Source organism: Homo sapiens, chromosome 10, assembly GCF_000001405.40.
Source record: "Homo sapiens chromosome 10, GRCh38.p14 Primary Assembly".
NCBI lineage: Eukaryota > Metazoa > Chordata > Mammalia > Primates > Hominidae > Homo > Homo sapiens.
The window spans coordinates 112,792,587-112,820,564 of NC_000010.11; the positions used below are offsets into that span (position 1 = coordinate 112,792,587).

Sequence of the window (27,978 nt, forward strand, 5' to 3'; positions counted from 1 at the left end):
TTATGAAAATTAAAACATTTCCTTCCCCAGAACTCTTCAAAAATCTGACTCATAAAAACCGAGTCAAGATACGGCAATGATACTACTGAAGTGGTATTGCCAGCCCGTATCAATGAAGCCTCCTGGCTGTGTCAGTGAATGTTTACATGAGCCTTTTAAAAGAGGGGAAAGGTGGGGACTGTATTTAGAAAAAAAGTTTTTTTGAACTGAGTTTGGATGTTGATGGTGATAATTACGTAGGCTGCTCAACACCCTGAAATATTTTGCCTGCCTGTCTGAGAAAGCAAAGTTACGTCTCAGTCTTTTCAAAATGCTGATCAGATTATGCTTTCAGTTGTTAATTGGTGCTGTTTAGCACATATTTCATCATCAGTCTCACTGACTCAAAAGCCTGTGATGCACTCTTGTTCCTTGCCTCGCCTGGCTCTGTTACAGGCATCTGCAGTAATTGTCGCACACTCGGTGAAGTGGAAGCACAGGGCTGGGGCTGAGGCTGCCTTTTGCCGTGGCTGTGTTAAGGAAGCCAGTGTTATTTGATATAAAGTGCTGCGGACAGACCAGGAGTAAGCGGATTATTTCAGACAGCGTTAGGAGGTAACCGGAGGAAGATTAGCTCGACATGAGGCAGATATCATAAGCAAATTAGAAAACCTCCCCAATTAGTACAAGAAACCCAGATTTGTGCTGTTTGTGATCCTTTGCTGAAAGGCAAAGTGTCGATGTTATGGGCTCTGGCCTTGATTCAAGTTGAAATGTTGGCATTTCCTATCAGTGCATGTTAGCATCTGAGGCTGTATACTGGCCTAATAAATGAAGTAAATTCCCGTTCTCCTGCACTGCTAAGTATTCCCCATTCCAAGGTTCTATACATTGGGTAATGTTTTACTTGGCCCTGGAATAATCTCTAGGGCATATTATAATGTTTCTATACTGGGAATATTCAACATGACTCCAATGTACCACACTTAATCTCTCTTTTGTTTGTTTGTCTTGTGGAACATGTATCATGCTGAAGTCATAAAAATGAAGTGTGCAAAATGCCAGATGCTACAAACGCAATTAGATACTTAAAAATAGCTTCCTTGGTGGCACTGCTTGAACTCTGAACTGGGCCTTGTTTTTACAAACAGGGTGGCGCTTTTCTGCTATGCTCCTGATTGTGTGCTCCGATAGGAGGCACGGCTCTGCTTCTAAGGCCATCAGGCAAACCATCAGATTGTTCTAGAATCAGACTAGGTGCTGATGTTTTACGACATCATTGCAGTTGCAGGCATGAGGTTTTTCTCTCCAGGTGCACTGTGTACCCTCCTGCTTCTTGACCTCTGATGGTTTGCAGTCAAGCTGTGTCGGCAAAAGCCCTCAACCGACTGAGTCTGACCTGCATAAAGAAGATGAAGTGCCCACACCCCTCACCCCTCACTTTTTAAGTTCTAAATGTATTCCACATAAACTTTTATTTCACCAGAACTCAAACAACCACAAAGCTCAGAATTTATTTTACAGTTTTATTCAAGGAAAAAGGTGATGTTTTTGTACTGTGGGGAAGAGGGGGCTGGATCATATTTTCTGATTATAGAAACAGTACATATTTATTACCCCAAAATTTGCAAAATTCAAATCAAAATGCAAAATGCAAAAAAAAATTGTAAAATTCAAAAAATCAGAGATTTTTAAAAAATCATGATCCTGGCCAGGCGCATTGGCTCATGCCTGTAATCCCAGCACTGTGGGAGGCTAGGTGGGAAGATCACTTGAGGCCAGGAGTTCGAGACCGGCCTGGACAGTAGAGTAAGACCCCATTGCTACAAAAAATAAATTAGCCAGGTGTGGTCATGCATGCCTGTGGTCCCAGCTACTCAGGAGGCTGAGGTGGGAGGACTGCTTGAGCCCAGGAGGTTGAGGTTGCAATGAGCTATAATCACGCTGTTGCACTCCAGCCTGGGCAACAGAGTGAGACTCTGCCTCTAAAAAATAATAATAAAATAAAATAATAAATAAAAAATTAAAATTATGATCCCAACGCCTAGACACAATCATTATTTACATTTCAATGTATATCTTTCCGATTTCTGTTTTACATTTATATATGTAGTTTTTGCAAAATTCAGATCATACTATACGTACTATTTGTAACCCTTGCTTTTTACATAATATATTATCAGCAAGAAAATTAGTGGTCCTAATGATGACTAGGATAGGGTCAGATTCTGTTAAACTTTCTGAATCATCAAAAACAAATTTATTCAATATAGTCTTAATAATAATTCTGCTTTTGTATAAGTTTTTCTTTGAAAATTATCAGTACCCAAAGAGCATTCGTGACAACCCTCAACTCACCGATATTATATGAAATATTATCATATTACCATATTCCTTTGAGGAGGACATTGCGTTTTCTCTTCTTTTACACGTGTGATCTAATTTCAGCATCACAAGAACCCATGAGATAGGAAAAAAGGACAGATGTTGTTGTCCCTGACTTTAATCATAAATGCAAAGTGACTCACCTGGCATCATAGCCGTTTGGAACTACAGCTAGAAAGCAAGACATTCTGTGACTTGTTATTTTCCTCACTGTTGTATTGCATGTGGTCTTTGACATCAGATCCGATTTTAAATACCAGCTTTTCCACCAACTAGCTGTGTGATCTTGGCTAACTTAACTCTCTAAGCCTCAGTCTCCTCCTCTGGAAAATGGGAACATTGACACCTTTGCCATAGATTTGGTATGAGGATTAAATAAAATAATTTGAGTGAAGGACTTAGGATAGTAGAAGTCACTAAAAAAAATTTTTAAATAATTTTTACCCTTGTTCTTTTTTCTCCTACACATTCCCTATTACTCTTTTTTTTTTTTTTTTTTTCTGAGAGACAGTCTTGCTCTGTCACCCAGGCTGCAGTGCATTGGCACAGTCTCAGCTCACTGCAGCCTCTGCCTCCTGGGTTCAAGCAATTCTTCTGCCTCAGCTTCCCAAGTAGCTGAGACTACAGACATGTGCCAGCGCACCCAGCTAATTTTTGTATTTTTAGTAGAGACAGGGTTTCACTATATATTGGCCAGGCTAGTCTCTAACTCCTGACCTCAGGTGATCCGCCCACCTCGGCCTCCCAAAGTGCTTAATTACAGGCATGAGCCACTGCGCCCAGCCCCCTCTTACTCTCTTATAACACTGTGAATAAATTAGTCTATTATGTTTCTTTTATTCAATATACTGAATTTTTAGTTTAGCATTATTTTAAATAATTATTATATATGTAATAAGATACGGTAATTCAAGAAAGTGTAGAAATACATAAAGATAGAAAAAACACCCACCACCCGAGTATAAACACCATTAACACTTGGCTGCGTTTCCTTCCAGTTCTTTTTCTTTCTGTGCAAAGACTTGCTGTTAGTTCAACTAGTGTTTTGAACTAATGAAAGCTAGACAGTCGTTAAGCCTTGTGTTCTGATTATAAAAGAGGTGCCCCCTTGAAATCCCACTTGGATTGCCAAGAAGCCAATATGGGGGATCTAAAAGCTGTCACGGGGCCACGCGCGGTGGCTGCCCCCTGTAGTCCCAGCACTTTGAGAGGCCAAGGTGGGCAGATCACCTGAGGTCAGGAGTTCGAGACCAGCCTGGCCAACACGATGAAACCCTGTCTCTACTAAAAAATGTTTTTAAAAAAATTAGCCAGGCATGGTGGCAGACACCTGTAATCCCAGCTACTCGGGAGGCTGAGGCAGGAGAATCACTTGAACTCCAGAGGCCAAGGTTGCAGTGAGCCGAGATTGAGCCACTGCACTCTAGCCTGGGCCCCAGAGCAAGACTCCGTCAAAAAAAAAAAAAAAAAAGAAGGCTGTCATGTGTCTGCAAGGGGTGTGAGAAGGTCTCAAGAACCTAAGGCATCCAAGTGAACTGATGAATTCCCAACCCACTGATCTCGTGGTCTAAGAGCAATTCAAGTAAAATGCAGCCCACCTCTTCACAAAACTGGCTCCTCTCATATAAAAGAGGTTCTGGACAAGCAGAGGCCACCATCTGTCAGGCCCCAGGTTGGCCCTGGTGTGGGCAAGTCCTTGGAAGAATCACTATACTAGAGTATCTTCAAACCCTGGGAGGGAAAAGTTCTTCCTGGGCCTGTAAAAGGCATTCTGTTTAGGCTGAAAGGAAATTTCCTACAGCCAAGCGTCTCCTGTCAGCTAATTTGATAGTTCTCTATCAAGTAAACCATTAGTGAATACATTGATCCTTTTTTTCCCCCTTTCTGCAGTTCTGCCTTGGCTATTCCCAAGATTTCTCTGAACCAGTTGGGCAAAATTGATTTTTATTAGTTCCACTGGCCTTGTGGAAAATTATCTCATGAACTGGTTTTTATAGGAAGACTCAAAGCATAGCACAGGGTAAAAAATAAGCCTATAGCAGTCAAAACTGTTGTCTGAAATGTCTTCAGACTGGAAGGCTGAATTTATTGCACAAAACAAGTACTAGCAAGGCGGAGGTGTGCAGTCCTGCTCATTATCACTGGAAAGGGGAACCAAAAAGCGGAGTAAAAAATTAAATTTTAATAATGCCAGTGATATTTTCTAAATCTTTCCTGACAGAAAGATTCTCATTATTTTTATCTGTCTCCGAGTAGGTTCTTTTAGTGCCATCTCAGAAATGGCCTCAGCTATGATTGTTTTCCAGGCTTTAAAGCATCTAAAAAAACAAATATATACAGAGAGAAATATGCTTTAGATTGTTCGAGGAAGGGCCGTGACCGTGGCAACATCCCGGCTAGTGTATTTGCAGCCAACATTTGCTGGGAACGCCTGCAGCTTTCACAAAAGAGGTCCATGTCGTTAAGACAATTGCTGTAAATCCCCCAAACAAAGGGGACCCACCATCCACTGCAGTTGGCTACAGGAGGAGCCCAGGGGCCCCGAGTCCCAAGTTTGGGTTCATTCTAGAAACCTCTCTATGCTGGCCATGAAAGGAGATTCAAGAAAAAAAAAAATTAAGATACCCTATTATTTTGGTAAATGTGAAAACTCATATTCCAAGTATGATATGATACAGAATTTTTGGGGATAGGAGGGAAACTAAAGGCAGAATCATTAAAGTAGCCAATCTGTGATGACGTGAGGATTTTTTGTTTGTTTGTTTTCTCACCTTTTTAGTGCCTGTGTATGAACCTGTCTTGGTCCCAAAAGGAATTAGAGCATTTACCTAAATATATGCAACACAATAAGATTGAATATTTACAAAAGAAGTAACGGGGAGGCTAGTACACAAACTGTGGAATCGCCTATACATTTGTAAGAGGTGGCCCACAGATTTCTCTCTGAGCGTTCTGGCAGCTGACTTGGAGAGGGCAATTGTTTCAGCTACGTGAGTCAGTATCTGTGAGATAGAAACTCAGCCTTTTCCCCTGCTCTGATGAGAGAGAACACTTTGTCGTGGGACCTCTTCGCAGGGACACACACTGTGCAGGTTAGTAAACACCAGGCTCCAAAGCTTCCTTCCAGGGAGCACAGTGAGCCCTGCAGGGCGCTCTGACCATCCTCCTTTCCTCAGGCTGGCGGTGTTAGGTCAGTGCGGCTGTGAACCAAAGCAATGCTGTGCAGGTGGGACCCTCAGGGGGCTCTGCTGCTCCAGGGTCGACTTCAGAGCCTCCAGCAGGAGAGGTGGACCCCAGTTCACTAGGCTCCTCAGCCAACACTGTCTCTCAGTTGGGCTTTCAACACGTCTTCCACAGGAGAGAATTTCAGGTTGTTCCCTTTGCTGAGGACCTGGAGTGGAAACACCTTATTATTGGTACTTAGGGGCCATCGTGTTGTCTAGTAACTAATTAGGGGGTCAGATATCACCCTCATCTGTGAAAATTAAGGCCAGGGAGCTTGAAGGGAGTGTCCCCAAAGAATGACAGAGTGAAAGGTCGCTGTCTCTTTGCAAGACACAGGCTGCCTTTTGACTTAGTCTGTATGAAGATCCCTCCTAATTCATGGGTGATTTTCCTACTCATTGCTGCCAAATACAGGACCTGAGAGAGTGATCAAAGGCCACACTACTCCTTGGCAACTAGTTTTCTTTATCTTCATCAAATCCACAAATACGGTTCTTGGTGCCCATCCTCAAGGGTGCTGGGTTCTCATATGTTTACTGCCATTTTAAAGATGGATAAACTGAGGCACTATTTGTTCTCCGGAAGATCACACAGCAAATTGTAAGTAGAGGCAACCCTACAAGGCTGCCTTTGCTCCTCATCCTCCAAGAGAGACCTCTGGCTTTCCCATTCCAGGCCTCCTGACCTATAACACGCTGCATAGAAAATGCACACCATCCTCCCCTAGAGTCACCAGCTGGGCTTTTCCAGCCACGTGCTGCAGACCATGCCAAGGTCAGGGGGCTGCAGATGTGTGGTCCAGCCCTGATCTCTGCTTATGCTTCTCGTGAGAGTCCATGAGGCGCGCACAGGCTGGTTTCTGGCTCCTGTTGACCCCTCCCTGGCCTTTGACTCCACGGTTAGGAATCGGTTATGGGCTAAGTTGGATGATCTCAGTGTAGACCCTAGTTATTGATGCTGCCACAGAGGCTGAACTTCAGGCTTCTGAGAGCCGCAGGGGTCAAGAGGGCTGGGCTTTTCCTGCCTCCAAGGGAATCTCCAGGAGGGTAAGGCAGGGATGCGCTCACCACCACTCCCTCTTCCTTTTAATTTCTTCCTTAGTAACTAGTCAGAGGTCGCAGACTGAAGGCCCACAGGGTGAGTCTACCCCACAGATGTGCTTTCTTTGGCCATCCAGTGTTTTGGAAAACTTTGACTTTGTTGCCAATATTTAAAACTTGGGAGATTTCACAAAGAGAACACCATTTCTGGCTTATCTTGGTAAATCAGAAGGTCTCAGTCCCAGCAGCAGTCAGCAGCAGCCCCTCGCTTTAGAAAAAGGGCAGATGCCCCTGTTCTCCCAGTCCCTGCCCCTGATGCCTACAGCCTGCAGACTGGATCTCCCCCACCCTCACAGGACTTTCTTCCTTGGTTAGAGGGAAGGATATGTCTTCCCAGGCTGGCAGGTGATGTGGCTTCACCTGCACAAACCTGGGGGCTCTGTTATCTGATCGTTACCCCACCCCACCCTCCTCCCAGCCTAAGAACCCAGAGTTCACCTGCGCAGATCTGATTAATGCTGCTTTGGGGTATGTGAAGTCAGTTTAAGATTATGAAGGAGATATCACAAGTTTGAATAGACAGCACACTCTGCAGCGGTCTCATTCAGTGTCCAACTAAGAAAACAGAGCAGCCCAGGGCTTAGCCACAGCAGGGCACCCCTCCACCTGGGCTGGGGGGACTAGACAAGGAGCAGTGGCCCTGGAGCCCAGAGAGAGAGAGAGAGAGAGAGTTCTGATGTTAGAGAGAGAGAGAGAGAGTTCTGATGTTAGGATCTAGAAAACGTAACCACATCCCTCAAAAGTTGGCAGAGATGCAGGTGGCTGATAAGCCTCTGCCAAAATGTTTGTCCTTCCTGACATCAGGAAAGAAAAAGGTGTTAAATAAATGACTATTAAGTGGTAAGTATCGAATGTCAGATCTTAGAGGAAAATAAAGCCCATCACAAAAGCCAAGGCAGCCGAGTCTTCACCAATATGTTCCAGGAGAGGCATCTTGGCCGTCAACGAGTATCCCCAGAGAAGCTCACAGAGCTGCAGAGGAGCTGAAGGCAGGGATTCCAGGCGAGTAGCTCAGCCTGGACCGGACAATCCAAGCTAATCAGGACCAAGGCCAGATGTGCCCTGTTGAGCCCTGGGCATCTGCAGGAATCTGAGAAGGGATTTGTAGGCTTTCAGAACAAGGCACCTGAGGCAGGAGGCTGCCTGCATGTGGGGGTACAGCCAGACAAGGAGGAGTTTCCAGAAGTAATGTGGGGAGATGGGTGAGTATGATAGGAGTGGAGTAATAATAGTTCCTATAGTTATTTATTGAGCAACTACCATTGGCCAGGCACTGATCTAAGCACTTCACATTGAATTAAGCCATTTATTTACTAATGTAATTCATTAACAGAATGCTGCTATTATTGGCCCCATTTTACCAATAGAGGGAAAGCAGAGCGTTGATTCTTTGGAGCGTGCCAATTCCTTATATTGGTACTGTTTTCTTTCATAGAGACCTGATGGTAGATTGTTCACTCTTTATTTTGCCCAGTAGGAAAGAGTAATTTCCAATGAGAGACTACATTTCTAATGTCCAAGGAAAGACACTGGTACATCTTCTCCTACTATCACTGCATAAATAAAGAACATTTTCATTTTCACACTAAAACAGTCAAGAGGATGTAATCTCAGAGAAGGAATGCAGTAACTTAACCAATGCTGTACAACTGGTGTGTGGTAGATCCTAGATTCGAATCCAAGCAGTTTGGCTCCAAAAATGAGGGTGGTTGCTCAACCTCCACGTGAATGTAGTATGTGGCTTCTCTGGAGGCTGAAAAGGATGAGGGACCTTCAGAAAAGAGCTTGGTGGGTTACTAGTTCAGAAGAGCAGTAAGTTTGCTTCTCAATAAAGGGTTAGGACCCAGTGGGGGTGGAGAACCTTCTCGAGCAGATCTTCCCAGGATGGCCAGCAGGAGGTGGGAGGGTGAGGAGTACTTAAAGCTGGGGGTTGGGGAGGGGTCATCCTGGCCCAGACACCAATCACGTCTGCCCTGGGCTGAGACCTTTCGGCCACCTCTGGAGTGGGCCTGGCCTTTTCCCTGGGTAGGCCTGAGCCATCAGATCTAGGTCCTAATACTTAACATAATTATAAAGATTCAATGACATCTTGTATGCAATAAACCAGAAAAAGATACTCTCTTTTTAAGACTGTCCGGAAGTTATATTGCTCTTCACAACCCTCGCAGAAAATACTTGGGAGAGCTTCCTTTATTACCATTTCGTGGATGGGGAAACTCAAGGACCCGTAGTCCTTTCCCAGATTCGCACAGTGAGTCTAGCTAGTTCTTCCATCTGATTTTCTTTCTGTCTAGAACTCTATTCCAACAGATCCACTACAATAAATCTTCAGCAGACCTGAATCTTTCTATAGTGTATCCCCTCACCCATATGTTATGTAAAAATAAAAAATCGTGTGGTACCAGGTCATTGGCAGCTCCCAGAGAACACTTGCCATTCTTTCTGTCTCATACTCTTTGGTGAGGGATCAGGTGATCACGCATTTACCTAGAAGAGATAAATTGAGCCCCTTAAAAGGCTGAAAGAAAACAGGCAGTGTGCCAGTGATTGAGGAAAGCTGATGAAATATGCTGCAGAATAAAATGAATATTACCTTAGTAATGTACTGTGTATTTACATTAGGCACTAAGTGAAGAATCGGTTGACTTTGGTTAATCAGTGCCCTGCACTACCAACACAAATAAACTTGCAGCTGGGTGTGGTGGCTCACACCTGTGATCCCAACACTTTGGGAGCCCAAGGCAGGAGGATCGCTGGAGCCCGGGAATTTGAGACCAGCCTGGGTAACACAGGGAGACCCATCTCTACTAAAAAAAATTTTAAATTAGCCAGGCATAGTGGCATGCACCTGTGGTCCCAGCTATTTGGGAGGCTGAGGCAGATCACTTGAGCCCAGGAGGTTGAGGCTGTGGTGAGCAGTGCCATGGCACTCCAGCCTGGGCAACAGGGAGACACCTTGTCTCAAAAAATAAACATATAAATAAGTTTGTGTACTCAATGACTGTGTCTATAGAAAATAATGTGAAGATGTCCAAGACTCTTCTATCAAAGAACCAAGGAGGATCTAGTAAAGATTCTAAGACACACGATTATATAAATAATGATCTGTATGCCATACGGTGGTAGAAGATGGGGCTGGAGAAGTGGGTTGAGGCTTCGGTTTCCTCCTCTGTAAAAATGGGGATGATAATAGGCCCCAGCTCATAGGGTTGTTGTGAGGGTTCAGGCACAGTGTATAAAATGCCAGAACAGCACCTGGCCTGGAGTAAAGCCCAGCCAACCTGAGCTGCTCATGCAGGCATCCCTGCTGCCATGGCTGCAGCTGTCCTCACTGCAGTGGATGTTGCTGCAGCCGCATTCTCTAGAAGAATCACCAAAGAGTAGAGCCGGGTTGGATTTTCTAGCCCCATGCTTTACAGATGTTCAGATTTCTTGGAATGGACCTTTTTGTTTTTTTTAAGTACAGGCCTATTGGAAGATTGTCCACTATTTATTTCGCCAAGTAAGAGAAAGTAATTTCCAAGGGAGACTACATTTCCAATGTCCAAAGAAGGACACTGGGGAAAAACCCTGCCATCTACTGTCATCATCACTCCATAAAACAAGGGACATTTTGACACTGAAACAGTGGAAAGGGCATATTCTCAGAGAAAAGAGCAGCCTCGAAATTGAGTAATCTTGGTTTTAAGAAAAAAGCTACTTTCTAATGTTACTCTTCTTTTCCCACTTCAGCCTTGGCCTGGAGTTAGGGGCCACTTTTCCCAGTCGTCCCATGCCCCCTCTTCATTTTATTTTATTTTTTTATTTTTTGAGACGAAGTTTCGCTCTTGTTGCCCAGGCTGGAGTGTAATGGTTCAATCTCGGCTCATTGCAACCTCTGCCTCCTGGGTTCAAGCATTTCTCCTGCCTTAGCCTCCCAAGTAGCTGGGATTACAGGTATGTGCCACCATGCCCGGCTAATTTTGTATTTTTAGTAGAGATGGGGTTTTACCAGGTTGGTCAGGCTGGTCTCAAACTCCTGATCTCAAGTGATCCACCCGCCTTGGCCTCCCAAAGTGCTGGGATTACAGGCATGAGCCACTGCACCCAGCCTCCTTCTTCATTTTAGAGAGAAGTGAGTTTGGGTTGGGCTCATTAAGAGGTGGGGCCACTGATGGATTTGAGTTGCCGTCAGGTACAGACACCGTTAGAGGCAGTGGCCGCTTGAATGAGAAAGAGTGTGATAGTGAAACAAGAGTGGACGTGGGGCCGGAAGGCCTGGCTGTGCCGCAGATGGCTGACCCTGGGCATATCTCTTCCCCTCTCACAGCCTCAGTGTCCTCAACTCTAAAATGAAGAATCTAAGCCAGATGTGGTAATGTGTGCCTGTAATCCCAGCTACTCAGGAGGCTGAGGTGGGAGGATCACTTGAGCCCAGGAGGTGAAGGCTGCAGTGAGCTGTGATCGTGCCACTGCACACCAGCCTGGGTGACAGAGTGAGACCCTGTCTCTAAAAAAAATAAAATAAAATGAAGAATTTAGACTAGGGCATGGAGGCCTTTTCCAGGTCTAGCCATCTACAGACCTGTGAGGAGTTAAATATACCTTGCATTTCTAGAACATCCTTATTTAATTCTCTTCAAGTTCTTTCCAAGCCCTTTGATTGAAGTGAGCTGCCTTGATCCTATCTGGGAGTCTGCAGCCAGCAAAGCCGCTCTGCAGGCCCCCTGCCATTGTCAAGTCCATATTTAAGAATGGCAGTGGCCGTGGTGCCCAGGCTGAAATTTGCTGTACACATTTGGCAACATAGAGTGCAATGTAACTACACATTACTGATCTAAACCCATCGGACTTATCAGTGGGCTCTGACAGGTACTTGTTGGCTGCCTTCCCAGGCTGGGAAGGTATCCCGGAGCCAGCCAATGTGATGCCCTCCCCTCCCTTTTGATGTTTATGGGAGAGAAGGCTCGGCTGTGCTCAGGAGACTGTCAGCATGAGGCCCAGATGGATACCAGCCTGTGGGAACCAGAAGCCTGGCAGGCTTGGGAAGCAGCAGCTTCCTGGATTCCTGCCCCCACCTTCCCATCCAGCCACTGGAAGTTTCCTAGGCAGCTTCTCCAGCCTCTGACAACCAGTGCCTCTCACCTTTCCTGAAATACCATCTCCTTTTACAGAATGATTTGCCAGCTGCACACATGTAAAGAGCTTTTCAGAGTGCTTTAAAATCTTTAATGAGCTAATCCTCTCCTCCCTGGGGTGGTTTGTGAGTTGGCTGATTTTGTTGGGGAAGAAACTGAAACCCAAATGTCATGGGGTGACTTGCTCTAGGTCACACCAGGTAAATACCAGATTATGGGCACAGAACACATTGTCCCGGCCCTGGCATTACTCTAATCGCGGCCTTTGTCGTGAGGCTTCTGTCATTCATTGATTGCTCATTGTGACACCATAAGTTCCCATAGGGCAGGGACTCTGTGTTTCCTTTGTTCTTCAGAAGGACTTCAGCCAGACCTGCCAGACCTGTCTGTGCAGCTCATGCCTTGTCGAAGACCACCACATAATTTAACCAAGGAGGGCCGCCCTAGGTAGATTATAGATTTTTTTTTTTTTTTTTTTTTTTTTTTGAGACAGAGTCCTGCTCTGTCTCCCAGACTGGAATGCAGTCGTGCGATCACAGGTCACTGCAGCCTTGAACTCCTGGGCTTAAGCAATCCTCCCGTCTCAGCCTCCAGAGTAGCTGGGGCTAAAGGTGTGCCCCACCACGCCTGGCTATTTTTTTTTTTTACTTTTTGTAGAGACTTGGGTCTCACCATGTTGCCCAGGCTGGTCTCAAATTCCTGCCCTCAAGCGATCCTCCCACCATAGCCTCCCAAATGTGTGGAGATTACAGTCGTGAGCCACTGTGCCCAGCCAGTAGCTTTTGGCTTTTAGATCATGAGTGGGCAAATCACAGACAGTGGGCTATATCCAGCCTTCCTCCTGTTTTAGCCACGGGCTAATAATAGTTGTACATTTTTAAATGGTTGAAAAAAACTCAAAAGAAGAATTTTTGACATGTGAAAATTATACACATTCAAAATTATACAACTCAGATTCTAGTGTCTGTAAATAAAGATTGTATTGGAACACAGCCATGCTTATTCGTTGACATATGTCACTGGCTGCTTTACACTACGAGAACAAAGTTGAGTAGTTGTGACAGACTGCGTAGTCCCCAAAGCCTAAAATGTTTAGTTATGGGTTAAATTGCAGCCTCTCACCTTAATTTATATGTCGAAGTACTAACCTCTGGTACCTCAGAATATGACTTTATTTGGAAATAATGTCTTTGCAAATGCAATTAGTTAAGATGAGGTACGGGAATAGGGTGGGCTCCTAAACCAATGTGACCGGTGTCCTTATTAAAAGGAGAAACTTGAACACAGGCACTCACACAGAGATACCACCTTGTGAAAACAAAGGCAGAGATGAGGGAATGCATCTACAAGCTAAGGGACCCCAAAGATAGCTGACAACCCACCAGAAGCTGGGAGAGAGGCATGGATCAGACTCTCTCACTGCTCTCTCAGGGAACCAACCCTGCCGACACCTTGACCTTGGACTTCTGGCCTCCAGAACTGGGAGACAATAACTTTCTGTTGTTGAAGCCGCCCAGTCTGTGGGACTTTGTTATGCCGGCCCTAGCACACTAATATACTGACTATCTGGCCCTCTGCAGACAGAGCGTGCTGATTCCTGTTGAGCTAAGTATTAAGAAAAATTTAGAAACAGGGCGAAGCGACTCCAGTCCTCACTCAGGACCTAATCTAGATATGCCAGGGCTCAGGGAGTGGATGTGGCTCCTCAGTTCCTTGCTGGAGAAAGTGCTCATCTCCCTGCCCATCAAAACTCATCCCCACTGTGTCCCAGTCCCTCAGGTCTCTCGGATGACTGACTACACCTAAATTGATGTTAGCCAGTGGGGGCTACTAATGGCTGATGATGGCTTGGTAGATTGGCCCAGAGATAGCATCTAGTTTTCTTCCCTTTTTTTTTATTATTTTATTTTTGAGACGGAGTCTCACTCTGTCACCCAGGGTGGAGTGCAGTGGCAAGATCTTGGCTCACTGCAACTTCCACCTCCCGGGTTCAAGCGATTCTCCTGCCTCAGACTCCCGAGGAGCTGGGACTACAGGCACACGCCACCACACCCGGCTAATTTTTGTATTTTTAGTAGAGATGGGATTTTACCATGTTGGCCAGGCTGGTCTCAAACTCCTGACCTCAAGTGATCTGCCCACCTCCGCCTCCCAAAGTGCTGGGATTACAGGCATGAGCCACCGTGCCCAGCCTTATTTTTTTTTATTTTTGAGATAGGGTCTCACTCTGTCACCCAGGCTGGAATGCAGCAGTGCAATCGTGGCTCATTGCGATTTCACCCTCAGGCTTAAGCAATTCTCCTGCCTCAGCCTCCTTAGTAGCTGGGACCACAAGCACAGGCCACCACACCTGCCTAATTTTTTTTAATTTTTCACAGAGATGAGGGTCTCTCTATGTTGCCCAGGCTGGTCTCAAACTCCTAAGCTCAAGGGATCCTCCCACCTCAGCCTCCCAAAGTTCTGGGATTTCAGGCATGAGCCAATGTACCTGGCCTTCTTCCTGTTTTAAATGGCCTATTCCAGAGGCAGGAGTTTTGTGAAATGAGTGTTGTGGCACATGCCCCCTCAGTCCCCTTATCTCACATGGCTTCAGGAAACTGCCTGCTCTGCTCATGAATGGAATTCTTATTCTGAGATGTAAGAATCAAAAGCTTCGGAAGACTGTGAGCCCCACAGCTGCATGCAAAGCTTCTGTGAACTCGGCTGGGACTGACCTGTCCTTTGGAGGAGATCTTAGTGTAGATCCACAGTAAATGTGCAGTGCAGCCATGGGGAAGAAGGTGGAGACGTGGAAAACAGTCATCACGAAACCCAAGATAAGATCACCAGCTCCATATGCTGGTCTGGATCCGAGCACTCAGTGTATTCATTTTCCAGGGCTGCTAGGGCTGCCGTAACAACATGGCTTAAATGCACTTATTCTCTCATAGTTGCGAAGACTAGAAGTCTGAAGTTAAGGAGTTGACAGGGCGATGCTCTCTCCAAAAGTGTAAGGGAAGAATTCTTCTTTGCCTCTTGCAGCTTCTGGTGGCCCAACATTCCTTGGCATGTGGCAACATCATTCCAGTCTCTGCCTCCATCTTCACGTGCCCCTCTTTGTCCTCTCTTAAGGACACCAGTCATCGGATTTAGGGCCACCCTAAATCTGGAATGATTTCCTCTCAAGATCCTTAATGAAGTCCAGCTGTGGTGGCTCACACCTGTAATCCCAGCACTTCGGGGAGGCCAAGGCAGGAGGATCACCTGAGGTCAGGAGTTCGAAACTAGCCTGGCCAACATGGTAAAACCCCATCTCTACTAAAAACACAAAATTAGCTGGGCGTGGTGGCACACGCCTGTAATCACAGCTACTTGGGAGGCTGAGGCAGGAGAATCACTTGAACCTGGGAGGCGGAGATTGCAGTGAGCCAAGATTGCACCATTACACTCCAGCCTGGGCAACAAGAGTGAAACTCCGTCTCAAAAAAAATAAAAAATAAAAATAAAAAAGATCTCTAATGAATCACATCCACAAAGACCTTCTTTCCAGGCTGGGCATGGTGGTGGCTCAGCATGGAGCTCATGACTGTAATCCCAGCACTTTGGGAGGCCGAGGCAAGAGGATCTCTTGAGGCCAGGAGATCAAGACCAGCCTGGGAAACATAGTGAGACCCTGTCTTTACAAAAAATTTAAAAATTAGCCAGGTGCGGTGGTGCATGCCTGTAGTCCCAGCTACTTGGGAGGCTGAGGTGGGACGATCACTTGAGTCCAAGCGTTCAAGGCTGCAGTGAGCTGTGATTGCACCACTGCCCTCCAGCCTGGGCAATAGGCCAAGACTCTGTCTCTTAAAAATAAAAAATAAAAAGGACCCTATTTCCAAATAAGATCACATTCTGAGGTTCCAGGTGGAACCTCATGAATTTGCAGGGACACTGTTCAATCCAGTACAATCAGTATGATTTAAAGTAAGAGGCTGGGTGCAGTGCCTCATGCCTGTAATCCCAGCACTTTGGGAGGCTGAGGTGGGCAGATCACCTGAGGTCAGGAGTTCAAGAACAGCCTGGCAAACATGGTGAAACCTCATCTCTACTAAAAATACAAAAATCAGCTGGGCGTGGTGGCAGCACTTGTAATCTCAGCTACTCAGGAGGCTGAGGCAGGAGAATCACTTGGCCCCGGGAGGTGGAGGTTGCAGTGAGCTGAGATTGCGCCACTGCACTCCAGCCTGGGCGACAAAGCGAGACTCCATCTCAAAAAAAAAAAAAAAAAAAAGAAAGCGAGAGAATCCCCAACCATACTTGCTGCAGTCAATGGGGAATTGTTTGGCTCCTGTAACTGGGAAGCTGAAGTGTGACTCTTCAGGTTTCAGGCACACAGCAGGAAGCAGGGGTTCAAATATGTCTTCAGGAATCCGTCTCTTTTTCTTTATCTCTCGGCTCTGCATTCCTCTGGTGTCGGCTTCTTTCAGGCAGCCTCGTCCGGTATGGTAGTAAGAATGGTCCTTGGCAGCTCCAGGTTCTCACTGTCCTGACAGTCAATCTCAGTAAAGACAGTATCTTTTTCTTGATTTTCCAGGAAGAATCCCAAGAGGAATTCCATCTGGCTTGAGTGGCAGACCAATCCTTGAGCAAATGGTAGTGCAAGAGCTAGAGAGCTGTCATTGGCTGGGCCTGCCTGGGCCATATGTCCATCTGTGGAATCAGAGTGGGATCAGCCTCCCTGAATTCTCGCGATGGGGCTGAGGATTACTCCTAGAGATGCAGGACATAGAAGACCCAAGATGGGCATTATCAGGCAGCATGATAACCGCACAGCTCTAGCTCAGAGGCAAACATGTCCCCAGCTCTGAAAATAACCCTTCCAATTAAAGTGAGTGTTTGAGGCAGATGACAATTAACTGTTTCTCCTACTCCTGTTTTCATTTCTTTCTGGTGAATAGTAACGTTGAATTGGATATAGAATTTAAAGAGCTTTCCCTTGGCCCATGTTTTGGGAAGTGCCTAGAGAGAAGCAGATCCGGGTTCCTCTGCTCAGAATTTATCCTATGCTCTCACGGTTGCTAATTGTTACTGTTCTGTCAGACCCCAAAAGTGGGGCATCGTTATTCAGGGCCAGTCGGCCAGGCAGGAAGGCAGGTACAGGATGCTGCTCTGAACCTGTAAAGTGTCTGCCACTCTCCAGCTAATGAACACAGGCTTGTAAAAAAGTTGGGACTCCGCTGGCATCCTTAATGGGACAGTGGCTAACAGCTAAGTCCTAAAGCTGTGCTTATCTACAAGCAGTCCTTAGAAACCAGGAGAGCAATAACCACGTGACCCTGAGCACGTGTAGGTAGAGTCTCTCATTTCTTCACTCAGCAAGCATGTTTTGAGAACATTTATGCCAAGCTGTGTGTTAGGCATCAGGGATACAAAAGACAAAAGAAATTCGGACTGTGGAAGGTCCACTTTTTACTGGGGACTGTAGTCAATGTACTGGAAAGAGAGATGTGTAGGGAGATAGGAGAATACGAGAGGGACATAGCCAGGAAATGCCTCTTGGAAGAGGAGGGAAGAATGCACATATGCCGTAGATCAAGGACCTGGTTTTGGAATCAGGGTGACTCAACCTAAAAATGCTTTTTGGTCATAAATAACAGAAAACCCAATTCAAACTGACTTTGGAAAATAAAGTCAGTTTATTTTCTCATATAAGTTAAAGTCCAAAGAAAGGGTGGTTTGATTTAAAAAAAAAAAAATGTTCACTGTCGGCCTGGCATGGTGGCTCACACTTGTAATCCCAGCACTTTGGGAGGCCAAGATGGGCAGATCACCTGAGGTCAGAAGTTTGGAACCAGGTTGGCCAACACGGTGAAACCCCATCTCTACTAAAAATACAAAAATTAGCTGGACATGGTGGCAGGTGCCTGTAATCCCAAGTACTTGGGAGGCTGAGGCACGAGAATCACTTGAACCTGGGAGGGGGAGGTTGTAGTGAGCTGAGATCGCACCACTGCACTCCAGCCTGGAGACAGAGAATGACTCCATCTCAAAAAAAAAAAAAAAAAAAGTTAAAAATTAAAGTTCTCTGTCTTCAGGACTGGGGTTCTATTTCTCTGCCCACTGTGGGTCAGCTTCTTTCTTAGGTTGGCTTCCCTCAATGAATCAAAAGGCCTGCAGTGGATCCAGCCTGACATCCACACACCAAACTGTCCAGGTGACCCCGCATTTCAAGCAAAGTTGCTGAGATCCACTCTGTTGGATGGACTTAAGTCACAAGCCTGCTCCTGGTCCAGTTACCATGGCCAGGGGCATGGAATGTACTGACCATCTCAGCCTCAGTCACAGCTGTACCCCTGGAGCTGGGGTAGCATCAGCTGTTTGGAATAGGGAAACGAACGCAGCCACTGTAGATCTGCTGTACACAGGAAGCGGATGCCTGGCTAGGCCTGGTGAGGCCTCACGCATGATATCATCAGTCATCAATACACAGGAGCATTGGCTGGAAGAAGCTCCTGATTCTTCAGTGAAAAGTGTTGTGACCAAGAGGTCAGAAGAGGTTCCCAGCTTTTGAAAACCAAGAGGCAAAAACCTGTTCTTCAAGAAAAAAAAAATCTTATCAGTCTTCATCATACCTTAGCTTCTGAAATACATGAAACCAGAGCCTCTCTTGGCTTGGCCAGATGCCTCGTCTTGTCTGAGAGGCGGACGGTAGCGTTATCACTCAGGGTAAAAGAGCTTATGGTATTCGGCAGTGACAACCCCCAGTCCTCAATGGCTTAACGCAAGTCCACTGGGAGTCCAGGTGCATCTCCAGGACAGTGGCCCTTTACATAATGACTGCAGGATCCAGGCAGAAGATGTTACCACCATCCTATAACTTGTACTCTCTGGAACAATACAGCCCCTCCCTCCCCAAATCAAAACCGCAGGAAGAGCCCGCTAGAGAGACAAACACTGGAAGTTAGATGCCTCCAGCTGGCAGTGACACTCAGAACTTTTGCTCTCATTTCTTTAGCCAAAGCTAGTTCCATGACCAAGCCTAACATTAAGGTGAGTGCAGACCGGGCGCGGTGGCTCACGCCTGTAATCCCAGCACTTTGGGAGGCCGAGGCGGGCGGATCACGAGGTCAGGAGATAGAGACCACGGTGAAACCCCGTCTCTACTAAAAATACAAAAAAAATTAGCCGGGCGTGGTGGCGGGCGCCTGTAGTCCCAGCTACTCGGGAGGCTGAGGCGGGAGAATGGCGTGAGCCCGGGAGGCGGAGCTTGCAGTGAGCCGAGATTGCGCCACTGCACTCCAGCCTGGGCGACAGAGCGAGACTCCGTCTCAAAAAAAAAAAAAAAAAAAAAAAAAAAAAGAGTGCAGTCCATGCCTGGAAGTAGAGGAGAACTGGCTATTGGAGAACACTCGTAATGCCTGTTCCAGTGGAATTCCTGGGCTCCTCGAGCAAGAGCAGAGAACTGTGCCAGGTGCAGTGCCGCGCCTGTCCCCTGCACTGGAACCAGCCTTCTGTGATTCCGGCTGCCACACGCAGGAGCTCGTTTCCAGGCTGGGAGGAGACTGGCAATGGAAAGATTAACCGCTCCCTGAGTTCCACATGGGGATCAGTACTTTCAATAGTACTTTGTGAGTTCAGCCTCAAAGTAAATGGTTAATTCATCTTGTATCAACAGCACTGTGATTCATAATGTAAACTTGGAGAATCCTTGATGTTTCGGGCCCACATTCCTTTTATTTTGGCTCTGCATTCTTTTAAAGCCACAGTGTGCTCACTTAATAGAATGCAGCATGCAAATGCACAAGTTTTTGCCTGGAGGCAATTTAGCCTGGCTGTTTCAATGGATGTCTTCTTTCAAGTGTATATTCTTTCTTAAATTATTTACTGGGTAAACACACTTTGCATTTTCAAAAGGGAGATTAAGACGGCTTGCTGCAGACCTAGTTCAACATAAAGCCCTCCCCTTGCCCAAAGTTAGGAGGAAGTTACTTTGGGCTTCTCCCCAAGTTCCTTCGCTGCCATCTCACTAGCTGGGAACCCCTTGGCCTAGCTGGTTTTTCTGATTGTCTCCGAGCTCTGCATTCCTTTCTGCTTTGCCTACAGCAATACAGGCCGGCAGCCCCTGGCTGCGATTGCAACTAAGCTTCCTCACAGATGGGGCCCACCAATGCCAGCCTGTATTTCCCCCTTCCAAACTGGCTCAGTCCTATCCACCCAGATGCCCTGACAGTTCACTTTTCTGGTCCTGAGGGGTATCACATTTGCACAACTCCTTTGAGGTCCAAGGTTGGGGTGGATGGCCCAGCCAGTCAAGCTTGCTTAGAGCTCTCTCTATTCCAACTCTTTCCCCATCCCCTTCTACTCTTCCTCCCAAATGTCTGCCAGCATTTGGTTTGAAAGCAAATGCCCTTTCCTGCTGACACCCCGCCCCCACCCAGCACAAAGGAGTTCCTTCTAGCTTCAGGGGGAAGACCAAGTAGTGCTGAGAAGGCGTGATGGTAGGAAGTTTCATCTTTGACGGGGCTTGCTTCAACTTTGAACTTTAACCTTTTCCATGCAGACTTCCTGAGATTTTCCTGCAAATTAATTGCACAGACTTCTCCATTCTCCTTTGAATGGAAGATTACAGTTACCAGAGACTGCATTCTTTCACGATCACTCTTTGGGCAGTTCTCTTTTGAGTACCTGTGTGCAACGCGACTGTGCCATGTGCTGGGGTGGTAGAGGTGAATTCCACATGGTCCCAGTCCACACAGGTTGGGCCCTTGGAAGCAACAGAGCGGGCGGTGGAGGGGAAGCCACCAGGCCCTGTGGGTGCACCAAGGAGGGGGTGAAGCCCAATTAGGAAGGTTAGGGAAGAGCTGAGGATTTAAGGATTCCTGTGTATTCATATTTCTTACCATGCCTCAGATTGAACAAGTAACACCCACAGTTAATCCTTTCTAAATTAGCATCATGGATGCCTTGGGGCCCTCAACCCACAAATAAAATGGTTGTCAACCAAGCTGTACAAGAGACACACTACTGTAGATTACTTAAGGCAGAATTTTAAAGAGTTTTCATGCTTTTAATCTGTTTCACTGCTGAGTTTCAATTTTGCTGATTTCCTTTGCAAGTCTGATGCGGGTGACTGTGGTAAATAGAGATTTTGACAGTGACTTGGGCAAATGGGATGTGTAGGGACCATTCTGAAGGCTCCTGTCCCTCCCAGAGAAAAGGGGGAAAAAATCAATTTGGGTTTTAAACAGAGCCACCAAGTAGCACCGATCAGTGTTGATAATTAGCCTCACTATCATAAGCCATGAAGTCCTGTTTTTATTTATTTATTTGGGGGACAGAGAATCTTCCTGCCTCTTGAGTAAGTGTGGCCTGTTAAGTCTGAATTAGCTGTCATCACAGAAGAATTAATGTCGGAGTGCAGACTTTCTAGTGGGGAAGGGAAGAACTAAACGAGACAGATCTTAGCCAAGCCTTGAGTGATAAATGAGGACCAAGTGGACCATTCATCTCCTGCGAGGAGAGTGGACAGAGGCACTAAGGCAGTTTTGCGGAAGACGTGTCAGCAAATGTGATCATTTTGTTACCTGTCAGGAGGAGAGAGAGCTCGTCCTTTTAGGGGGCCACGAGGGAGTGGGTTGGTCTGATAAGACAGTTTCCATTCAACCGTTTAGGTTTGGAGAAGAAGGGGATGGGTGAGGAGGAATCTGACTAAAACTACAACCTGATGTCATCCTTCCAGGAAATAAACTCATCTAGGAAGTAGAAAATACCCTGCAAAGATTTTTTTGTGTGTGAAGATACAAAGTAGGGGTGTGGGGTCTCTGTTCCGTGGGGAGCCCAGCTTCATCTCCCCAGCTCCTCCCCATGGAAGACCCATGTCCAGTGTTTGGTGACTGGAGTAGGGCAGCAGGCCTTTTGCTGCTTGGTATTTGGAGGAGGGTTGGATGGGGTTTGCCGTGGGGTTTTAAGCTGGACAGATAGCTGGCTAGACTGCCAGCCAGCTCATGTCTCTATTTCCGTGCAGCTCTGTGAGAGCGAGCGTGGGCACGGCTGTTTGACCTAGGTTCCCTTTGAAACTCTCAACAAAGCATTCTGATGTTCGACCTCTTTTCTCCGAATGAGGTAACAAATTATGAAACAACCTCATCAGAAGCTCTCTGCAGGCATCTGGGAGCGTGTGTCTCCACTCTGGTCCCCCTTCTAAGTTGCTGGTTCCCCATCAGCGTGCAGCCCAGCCAGAACCCAGGGAGGTAGAATCCCTGGAGGTAAAGGCCCAGCAACAGACGCACAACAGGCACCTTGAGTACATTGTATATTTCTCATTTCCATCTTTTTTGCTATGGAGCAAATGTAACGTTTCCTCCTAGCGTAACGGAGCGTGAGCCACACTGACAGATGATGGTTTCACAGCCTAAGCTGCACATTTGACACTTGTTTCTTAATCCCATCCTTTTCTTCCTTAGTCTCTGTTTTACTTTTCCCCAGGTATTTTTGTGCAGGTAAGTACATTGCTGACATGTGTTTCCTTGGAGTATTTTACTTTAACAGGAAACACTGCAAAAAATGAGGCTTGTCTCGCCTTTTAAATTAGAAAGAGAAGCTCGCAAGGGGCCCTTGATCACTTAAAGAGGCTACATGATTTTCTGAGCCTCGAAAGCCATTTGATTCGCCTTAGCTTTGCAGTAAGCATTTCTCGGAGGGCAGCGTGACAATCATGTGGAGCCTTTCGTTTCCTCGTGGATCGTTTGTAGAACCAGAAAGCTGCGTGATGTCTCTTTCGCGCGCGCACACACACACACACACACACACACACACACACGCTCCCCACCCCCACCTGCAAAGCTGCCGTTTGATTAGCCAACCTGGCCTCGGACGGCGTTTGTGGGAAGGCCTTCCACTTATCTGTGTGTGTTTTTTCTCCTTTGCTGTCTCCTAGAATCATCCAGAACCGCATCCTGCTCGTCATCCTAGGGATCATCGTGGTCATCACCATCCTGATGGCGATCACTTTTTCTGTCAGAAGACACTGATGTATCTGCTCTCCCTTGATAAACAGCAACAACAGCTTGTTCTGAGTAATTAAGACAAAATGGTCACATGAATCATTCTGTTGCGCTGACAGGCCCCAGGTGACCCTCTCTCTCCCTCACCGCCGTTGGGCTGAAGTGCAAAGAGTGTAAAAATATTTTCTATTCCTGTTTGCATGTGGGTTGGTTTCCTTTTCGAGGTTTGTCTTCACCCAGATTCGTTTTTTAGAGGGGAAGGTGAATGTTTATTTACCTTTTTGCTAATGTCATCAACTAGCCAAAATAGCCCCAGTGACACTCCTAGCCCTCTGGACGTGTCAAGGGCCGTGGTTTGGGAGAGGACATGATGAGTCAGTCACGAGAGCTTCTGTTTGTCACCCGCCTCTTGTTGCTGAAAAGCTCTTCTGTGATGTCTGAGGATAAAAATGCAGCAAAAAGCAGGGGATGGAGTCAGTGACCCCGTCCAGCAAGCCAGCCCTGTTCCTACACAGGCCTCATGAATATAGTCATCAACCTGCCTGAGTGCTTTCATTGTAAAGGTCGGTATTTAATGTCGGTTGTACAGGAAATTGACTTAGCACTTTCCCTGTTTTTCTATTGCATAATTTTTTTTTTAACCCAAAGATATTTTTTTTGCTGAGCCTGCCCAGTATTCACTGTTCACAACTTTGATTACTGGCTACAAGAAATATTTTCTTGCCTTCCCCAAATCCCATACTCCCCAGAATCTGCTGGCAAAGTGAGCCCTGGTACAGGATTTAATTGTGACCTCGTCTTCCCTGACCTGTGTAAGCATCTCTGTATCCTTTCGGTTTTAATATCTGCACTGCCAAAAGCAGTCCTCATACTTGCAAAAGGTCTGACAAGGTTCTCTCCACATACATTCCAGTATGTAAAGAGACCATGAATATTTCAGTAAGAGCAAGAACATGACTCCATCAGTGTGAAATTTCAAATGTGATTATAAATATGGGAGAGTCCTATAGGAGGGTCCACCAGAGATAAACTTCACGGAAAACGTTCCCTAACCTCCTTTAAAAGAATAGAGGATGGCAGATTGTTCCAAAAGGAATGGCTTGGGTTTTTAACTAACAAATGTTAGCAAGCCTTTCTTGAATTCACTATGTATTCAAACTTCTAATATGCTTTGTGATTTTTTTCTTTCATTTCTTTCTGTCTGAGGTAACCAGGAATTGCGTTCAAAATGAGCTCATTTGTGATCAGGCTTAAAAGTTGCCCAAGCTGAGGTCGTTTCCCCCCAGTCACAAAGCAGAATGTTTTTCTCAAGACTTCATAGGCACTTACTGGTCCGTACTATCTTTGGAATATAATTAGAAGCTTTGAATCCTTGAAAAGCAAACCTGTTCTCTTCATCAAAAATGCTAACCACCTGTGCCCGTGGATCAATATCACCTGGATGTAGTGCTTGATATTTTTCCCAACTCAGAAGAAAACCATTATGGTTTAGAGAGGAAATGCAGAATGGCAGAATCCACCAGAGAAATTGCACTTATCGAAACAGGCCAAGGCCTGCATGTGTTCGGATAAATCATTTAGTATTGTGTAAATAAAGCTGCAGCCTTTACTTCGGAGGGATGGTGTGGGATTTTGGCCGAGGGAAGCAGGACAGAGAAGGAGCAGGAAGCTATGCTAATTTTCCTGTCAGCTTAAGGGATCCGTCTCAGCAAGAATCTTGTATTCTGATAACGGAATGCTGTACGTGCTGACCACATCTAAGAACCATTAAAAAGCAAGGAAACAAACAAACAACCCTTTTCTCATTCCGACACACGAATAGTCATCGAGTATTACACCAGCCCCTCTGGTGGCTTCCTTCAAAACTGTTGATCTTAGCTAAAGTGTATAACCAGTTACCAGCTGCACTTCGCACGGCCATCCCGTCCACAATGCAGCAGACTCTTCCCAAGGCCACCTAGCAAGCAAGGTTGATCGGATCATCTAAACTGGCCGCCTCCTGAATATTTCACTGAATCCTGGCGTTCATGTTGAAGCAGACAAAATGAGAAAGGAGGAGGGCATTGCTCACCTCTCAATAGCTTTTTTCGTTCAAGTTCTATGTCTTTATCAGCTCTTGCCTGTGATTTTACCCCAATTCAACCTTGGGAGTGGGAAGAATATGAACAGATAACCCTTGGCCTAACAGCTCCATCAAACCTCCTTGAGAGCAACTACCTAGGCCAGGCTAGTGAGTGCTTTGTGAGGAAGCTGGTCAGAAGGTTCCCTCAACTCCTTCCTGGTCCTCCTGGACACTGCAGAAAAGACTTAGGGGATCCCCAGCAGAGGCCAATTGCTCTCCTTCCTTCCCTGCCCCACCAGGAAAGGAATAACGTCCACAGACTTGAAGCAGATAGTGAAGTAGATCTGTGAGAGGTTCTAGGTACTTAGTGTGTAGACTTTGACGAATATTTCTCAAGTTGGGAGCCCTTGTTAAAAATGATGTTTAAGGGAGTGGTTGGGGGGAAGATGAAGGCATGGAGGAGGAAGAAGAGAAGGAAGCCCTTGCCATATAAAATTCATGCAGACTAAACAGTTTCCCTGACAGAATAAATAAAGTGGATGCTACCCCACTCCAGAATCAAAAGCAATTTAATTAAAGTCTCTTAAGTTGTAAAGAGTTTTAAATGATCCGTGTTGAAGGCGAATGCCTGCAAATGCAGTGGGTCTGACGTCAGCTGCCGGGCCTGGGCTGGGAGGCCATTTGCTATTCTGTTTAAGGCAGGCTGGATTGTCTTATTTTGGAACCAGCTTGGTGGGGGGTTTGCTTTGCTACTGCTTCTGAGCCCTGAGCTTCAAAGGCTGAAATTAATGGTGAACAAAATTGTGCGGCTCTGGCCATCCCATGCGGGGCAAGCCCATTGAGGGTTATCATTAAGTAAAGAAATAAAGAGGGGGAAAAAAGCCTGCCTGTTCCAAAAACCTCATCAGATAATGACCTCAGTGATTGGGTTTTCATTACCAAACAGCATCCAGAGATTATCAACCCATAGAAGAAGGGAGGGGAAAAAAAAGAAAGAAAGGAAAAGCAACTGTCTTTCTCTCCCTCTCTTTCTCCTTTTTTTTTGCACATCTTTTCTTTAAAACTGTCAGATCATTTCAGTATTTCAAATCCGAGGAAAACAGCCTGCCTGCTGCTGTATTTGAAGTTGTAATGGTGTCAAAAAGTCACGACTGACTGACAGCCGTCAGTCCCAGAGGGGCTCATTAAATCATAAAAACTTGACAAGGAAATAATTGCGCATTGCCAGCAACTTGGCGCCTGTTTAGACGTTTTTATTTTCTTTCATTATTAGTCCCCACCATTACGTTCATTAACAAATTGCATTAAACAACTGTTAAGGGCTAATGATTTGTTTATCGCTTTTTTTTATTATTATTATTTAAACATTAGCTGTGTCATGTGGTACCCCAAGCAGCCTCTTGCCATCATCTGACTGAATATTTTTCCACTCCGAGCTCTGGGTACTGTTGGAATATGAAATAGATTATTCATTACTCTCCTCTTTGCCACTGATTTGGTTTCATGTAGCGTCTTCCACAGAGAAAGATGAAAACTTGTCAAAAATAGGTTATATCTTATTCGAAGGGGCAACAATAGCAGCAGGTACAGGCACACTTTAATATTTAATTAAGGTTGATGTTAACCCCTTTAAATGACTTTAGCTGTAAGTTGTATTCAAATGCAGAAGAGAAAAATAATTGTTCTTAATTTGCAACCTGTTCAGCAGGCGTTCTTCATGGAGTGAGCTGGAAATTTAGGGCAGAATTTTTAAATAATGAAATTTCCCATCGTAAATATTAATAGCAGTTTGTCTACGTAGTGGAGAATTAACTAGGAGTGATGATTTCCTCATCCCTTTGGTTTGAACTGCTAGCCTAGTGAGGCACTCCATGCTTGGGAGTGGAGGTGGCTTTCCTGGGAGAAACGTGTGTGTGGAGGGGAAGTTCAGAGCCAAGTTCTGTTGGTTGGTTGTGGTCAGCGCTGGTTTCAGAGGAACCACCGTGAGTCCCTGGTCTCCAAGCCACTTGCCTTCCCCTTTGGCTGGGTGTGTTGTTGCAGGGATGTGGGCAGGCGGGAGAGCCAGTAGAGACATCTTAAAGGAAGATGTGTGTCTGGTTGGCTGGTTTGGGGAGGGTCTGATTGGGGGTATGTCTTGGGCATCTCCGTGCCGTCAACTGGAGCTCATTACAAACAGCGCTTCCCTAATATGCAACAGGGAGACACTTTGCTGAGATGGGCCTTCTGTCCTTTTTCCTTTCTGTGACTTGCTATTGGTGAATGGCTCTTCTTTTCCATGGACCATGAGCTTGAAGGGCCAGGGAGGACAAAGCCCCATCGTCCTCATCCTAAATCGGAAGTCAGTGGCCTTCTCCATGCTATGGCTGCTGTCTATGTCTGCTCAGCCTGTTTGTTTGATGAGTTTATATAACCATGGAAGCCACCCTCAGAGGCCCGGTTCATTGACACTTCAGGGCAGGGGTGTTGGGTCAATATCAGGGAATGGGAAGTTCCTTTCTCCCATCCCCAGAGGGACCAGGCCCCTTATGTAGCTCCACCATGGGTGTGAGGGGAAGAGATGGTGCACGTTCCTTGCTCAGTGTAGCATCTCTCAGCATCACCCATCCAAGGACAGATGGTCCTGCAGGAGCCACGGCGTGGGAGGTACCTGCCTGGCAGGCACGAGCCAGGTGGGACCTGGCCTCAAGCCTCTTTGGTTACTATGGGCGTAGGAACAGCAGACATGCCAGGCTTTGGAGGATCTCAAGCCTCCATTTCAATCCAGGATAAATTAGCCACATGACAATCTGTCCCCCTTGGGATGGCCTTCACACCTCAACAGAAAAGGTACCAAGAGCCATTTTTCCAAAAGGAAGAAAGGAAGGAAGAAAGGAAGGAAGGCTGGCTCTGTGAAGAGCCATCCTCAGTCCAACTCCCAGTGACCCTGGTTGAGGGTCTGCCTGAGACTAGCTCAAACTCAACCTCACCCTATGCAGTAACTCTCTAACTCTAAACTAGCCCCCAAGAGATATTCTGGTGGCTTCACTTTGCCTGTGACCCATCAGACTCAGACCAGTGGCACCTGCCAGAGGCTGGCCACATAATGTCAGCAGTCAGGTGGCTCTCAGCCCAGATGCCAGTCTTTGTTAAACAGGGCAGGTGACTGC

The 27,978-nt window shown here is 46.2% G+C and overlaps 1 protein-coding gene across 6 annotated transcripts in view, besides 4 other annotated features; it reads left to right on the plus strand.

Annotated features, from left to right (window-relative positions):
- VTI1A (vesicle transport through interaction with t-SNAREs 1A) overlaps window positions 1-27,978 on the plus strand; it is a 408,381-nt gene that overhangs the window by 345,599 nt on the left and 34,804 nt on the right. For 4 of the 6 annotated variants that reach the window (NM_001365712.1, NM_001318203.2, NM_001318205.2 and 1 more), the window contains one exon: window positions 22,704-26,158. The exons of the other annotated variants lie outside the window; for them this stretch is intronic. Coding sequence is in view for 2 of the 4 variants with exons in the window: in NM_001318203.2 (NP_001305132.1) it covers window positions 22,704-22,797 (94 nt within the window). In the remaining 2 variants the exon portion in view is untranslated. Of the gene's footprint in view, window positions 1-22,703; window positions 26,159-27,978 lie in introns of those variants that run through there. 6 annotated transcript variants of the gene reach the window in all.
- Window positions 11,642-12,141: an enhancer, noted in NCBI's record as "H3K4me1 hESC enhancer chr10:114563987-114564486 (GRCh37/hg19 assembly coordinates)". NCBI's record gives its function as "activates a minimal SCP1, AML or CMV promoter by ChIP-STARR-seq in naive H9 embryonic stem cells {active_cell/tissue: H9 hESC(naive)}" and the evidence as "EXISTENCE:reporter gene assay evidence [ECO:0000049][PMID:30033119]".
- Window positions 18,265-18,965: an enhancer, noted in NCBI's record as "H3K27ac-H3K4me1 hESC enhancer chr10:114570610-114571310 (GRCh37/hg19 assembly coordinates)". NCBI's record gives its function as "activates a minimal SCP1, AML or CMV promoter by ChIP-STARR-seq in naive H9 embryonic stem cells {active_cell/tissue: H9 hESC(naive)}" and the evidence as "EXISTENCE:reporter gene assay evidence [ECO:0000049][PMID:30033119]".
- Window positions 18,966-19,664: an enhancer, noted in NCBI's record as "OCT4-NANOG-H3K27ac-H3K4me1 hESC enhancer chr10:114571311-114572009 (GRCh37/hg19 assembly coordinates)". NCBI's record gives its function as "activates a minimal SCP1, AML or CMV promoter by ChIP-STARR-seq in naive and primed H9 embryonic stem cells {active_cell/tissue: H9 hESC(naive and primed)}" and the evidence as "EXISTENCE:reporter gene assay evidence [ECO:0000049][PMID:30033119]".
- Window positions 19,665-20,364: an enhancer, noted in NCBI's record as "OCT4-NANOG-H3K27ac-H3K4me1 hESC enhancer chr10:114572010-114572709 (GRCh37/hg19 assembly coordinates)". NCBI's record gives its function as "activates a minimal SCP1, AML or CMV promoter by ChIP-STARR-seq in naive H9 embryonic stem cells {active_cell/tissue: H9 hESC(naive)}" and the evidence as "EXISTENCE:reporter gene assay evidence [ECO:0000049][PMID:30033119]".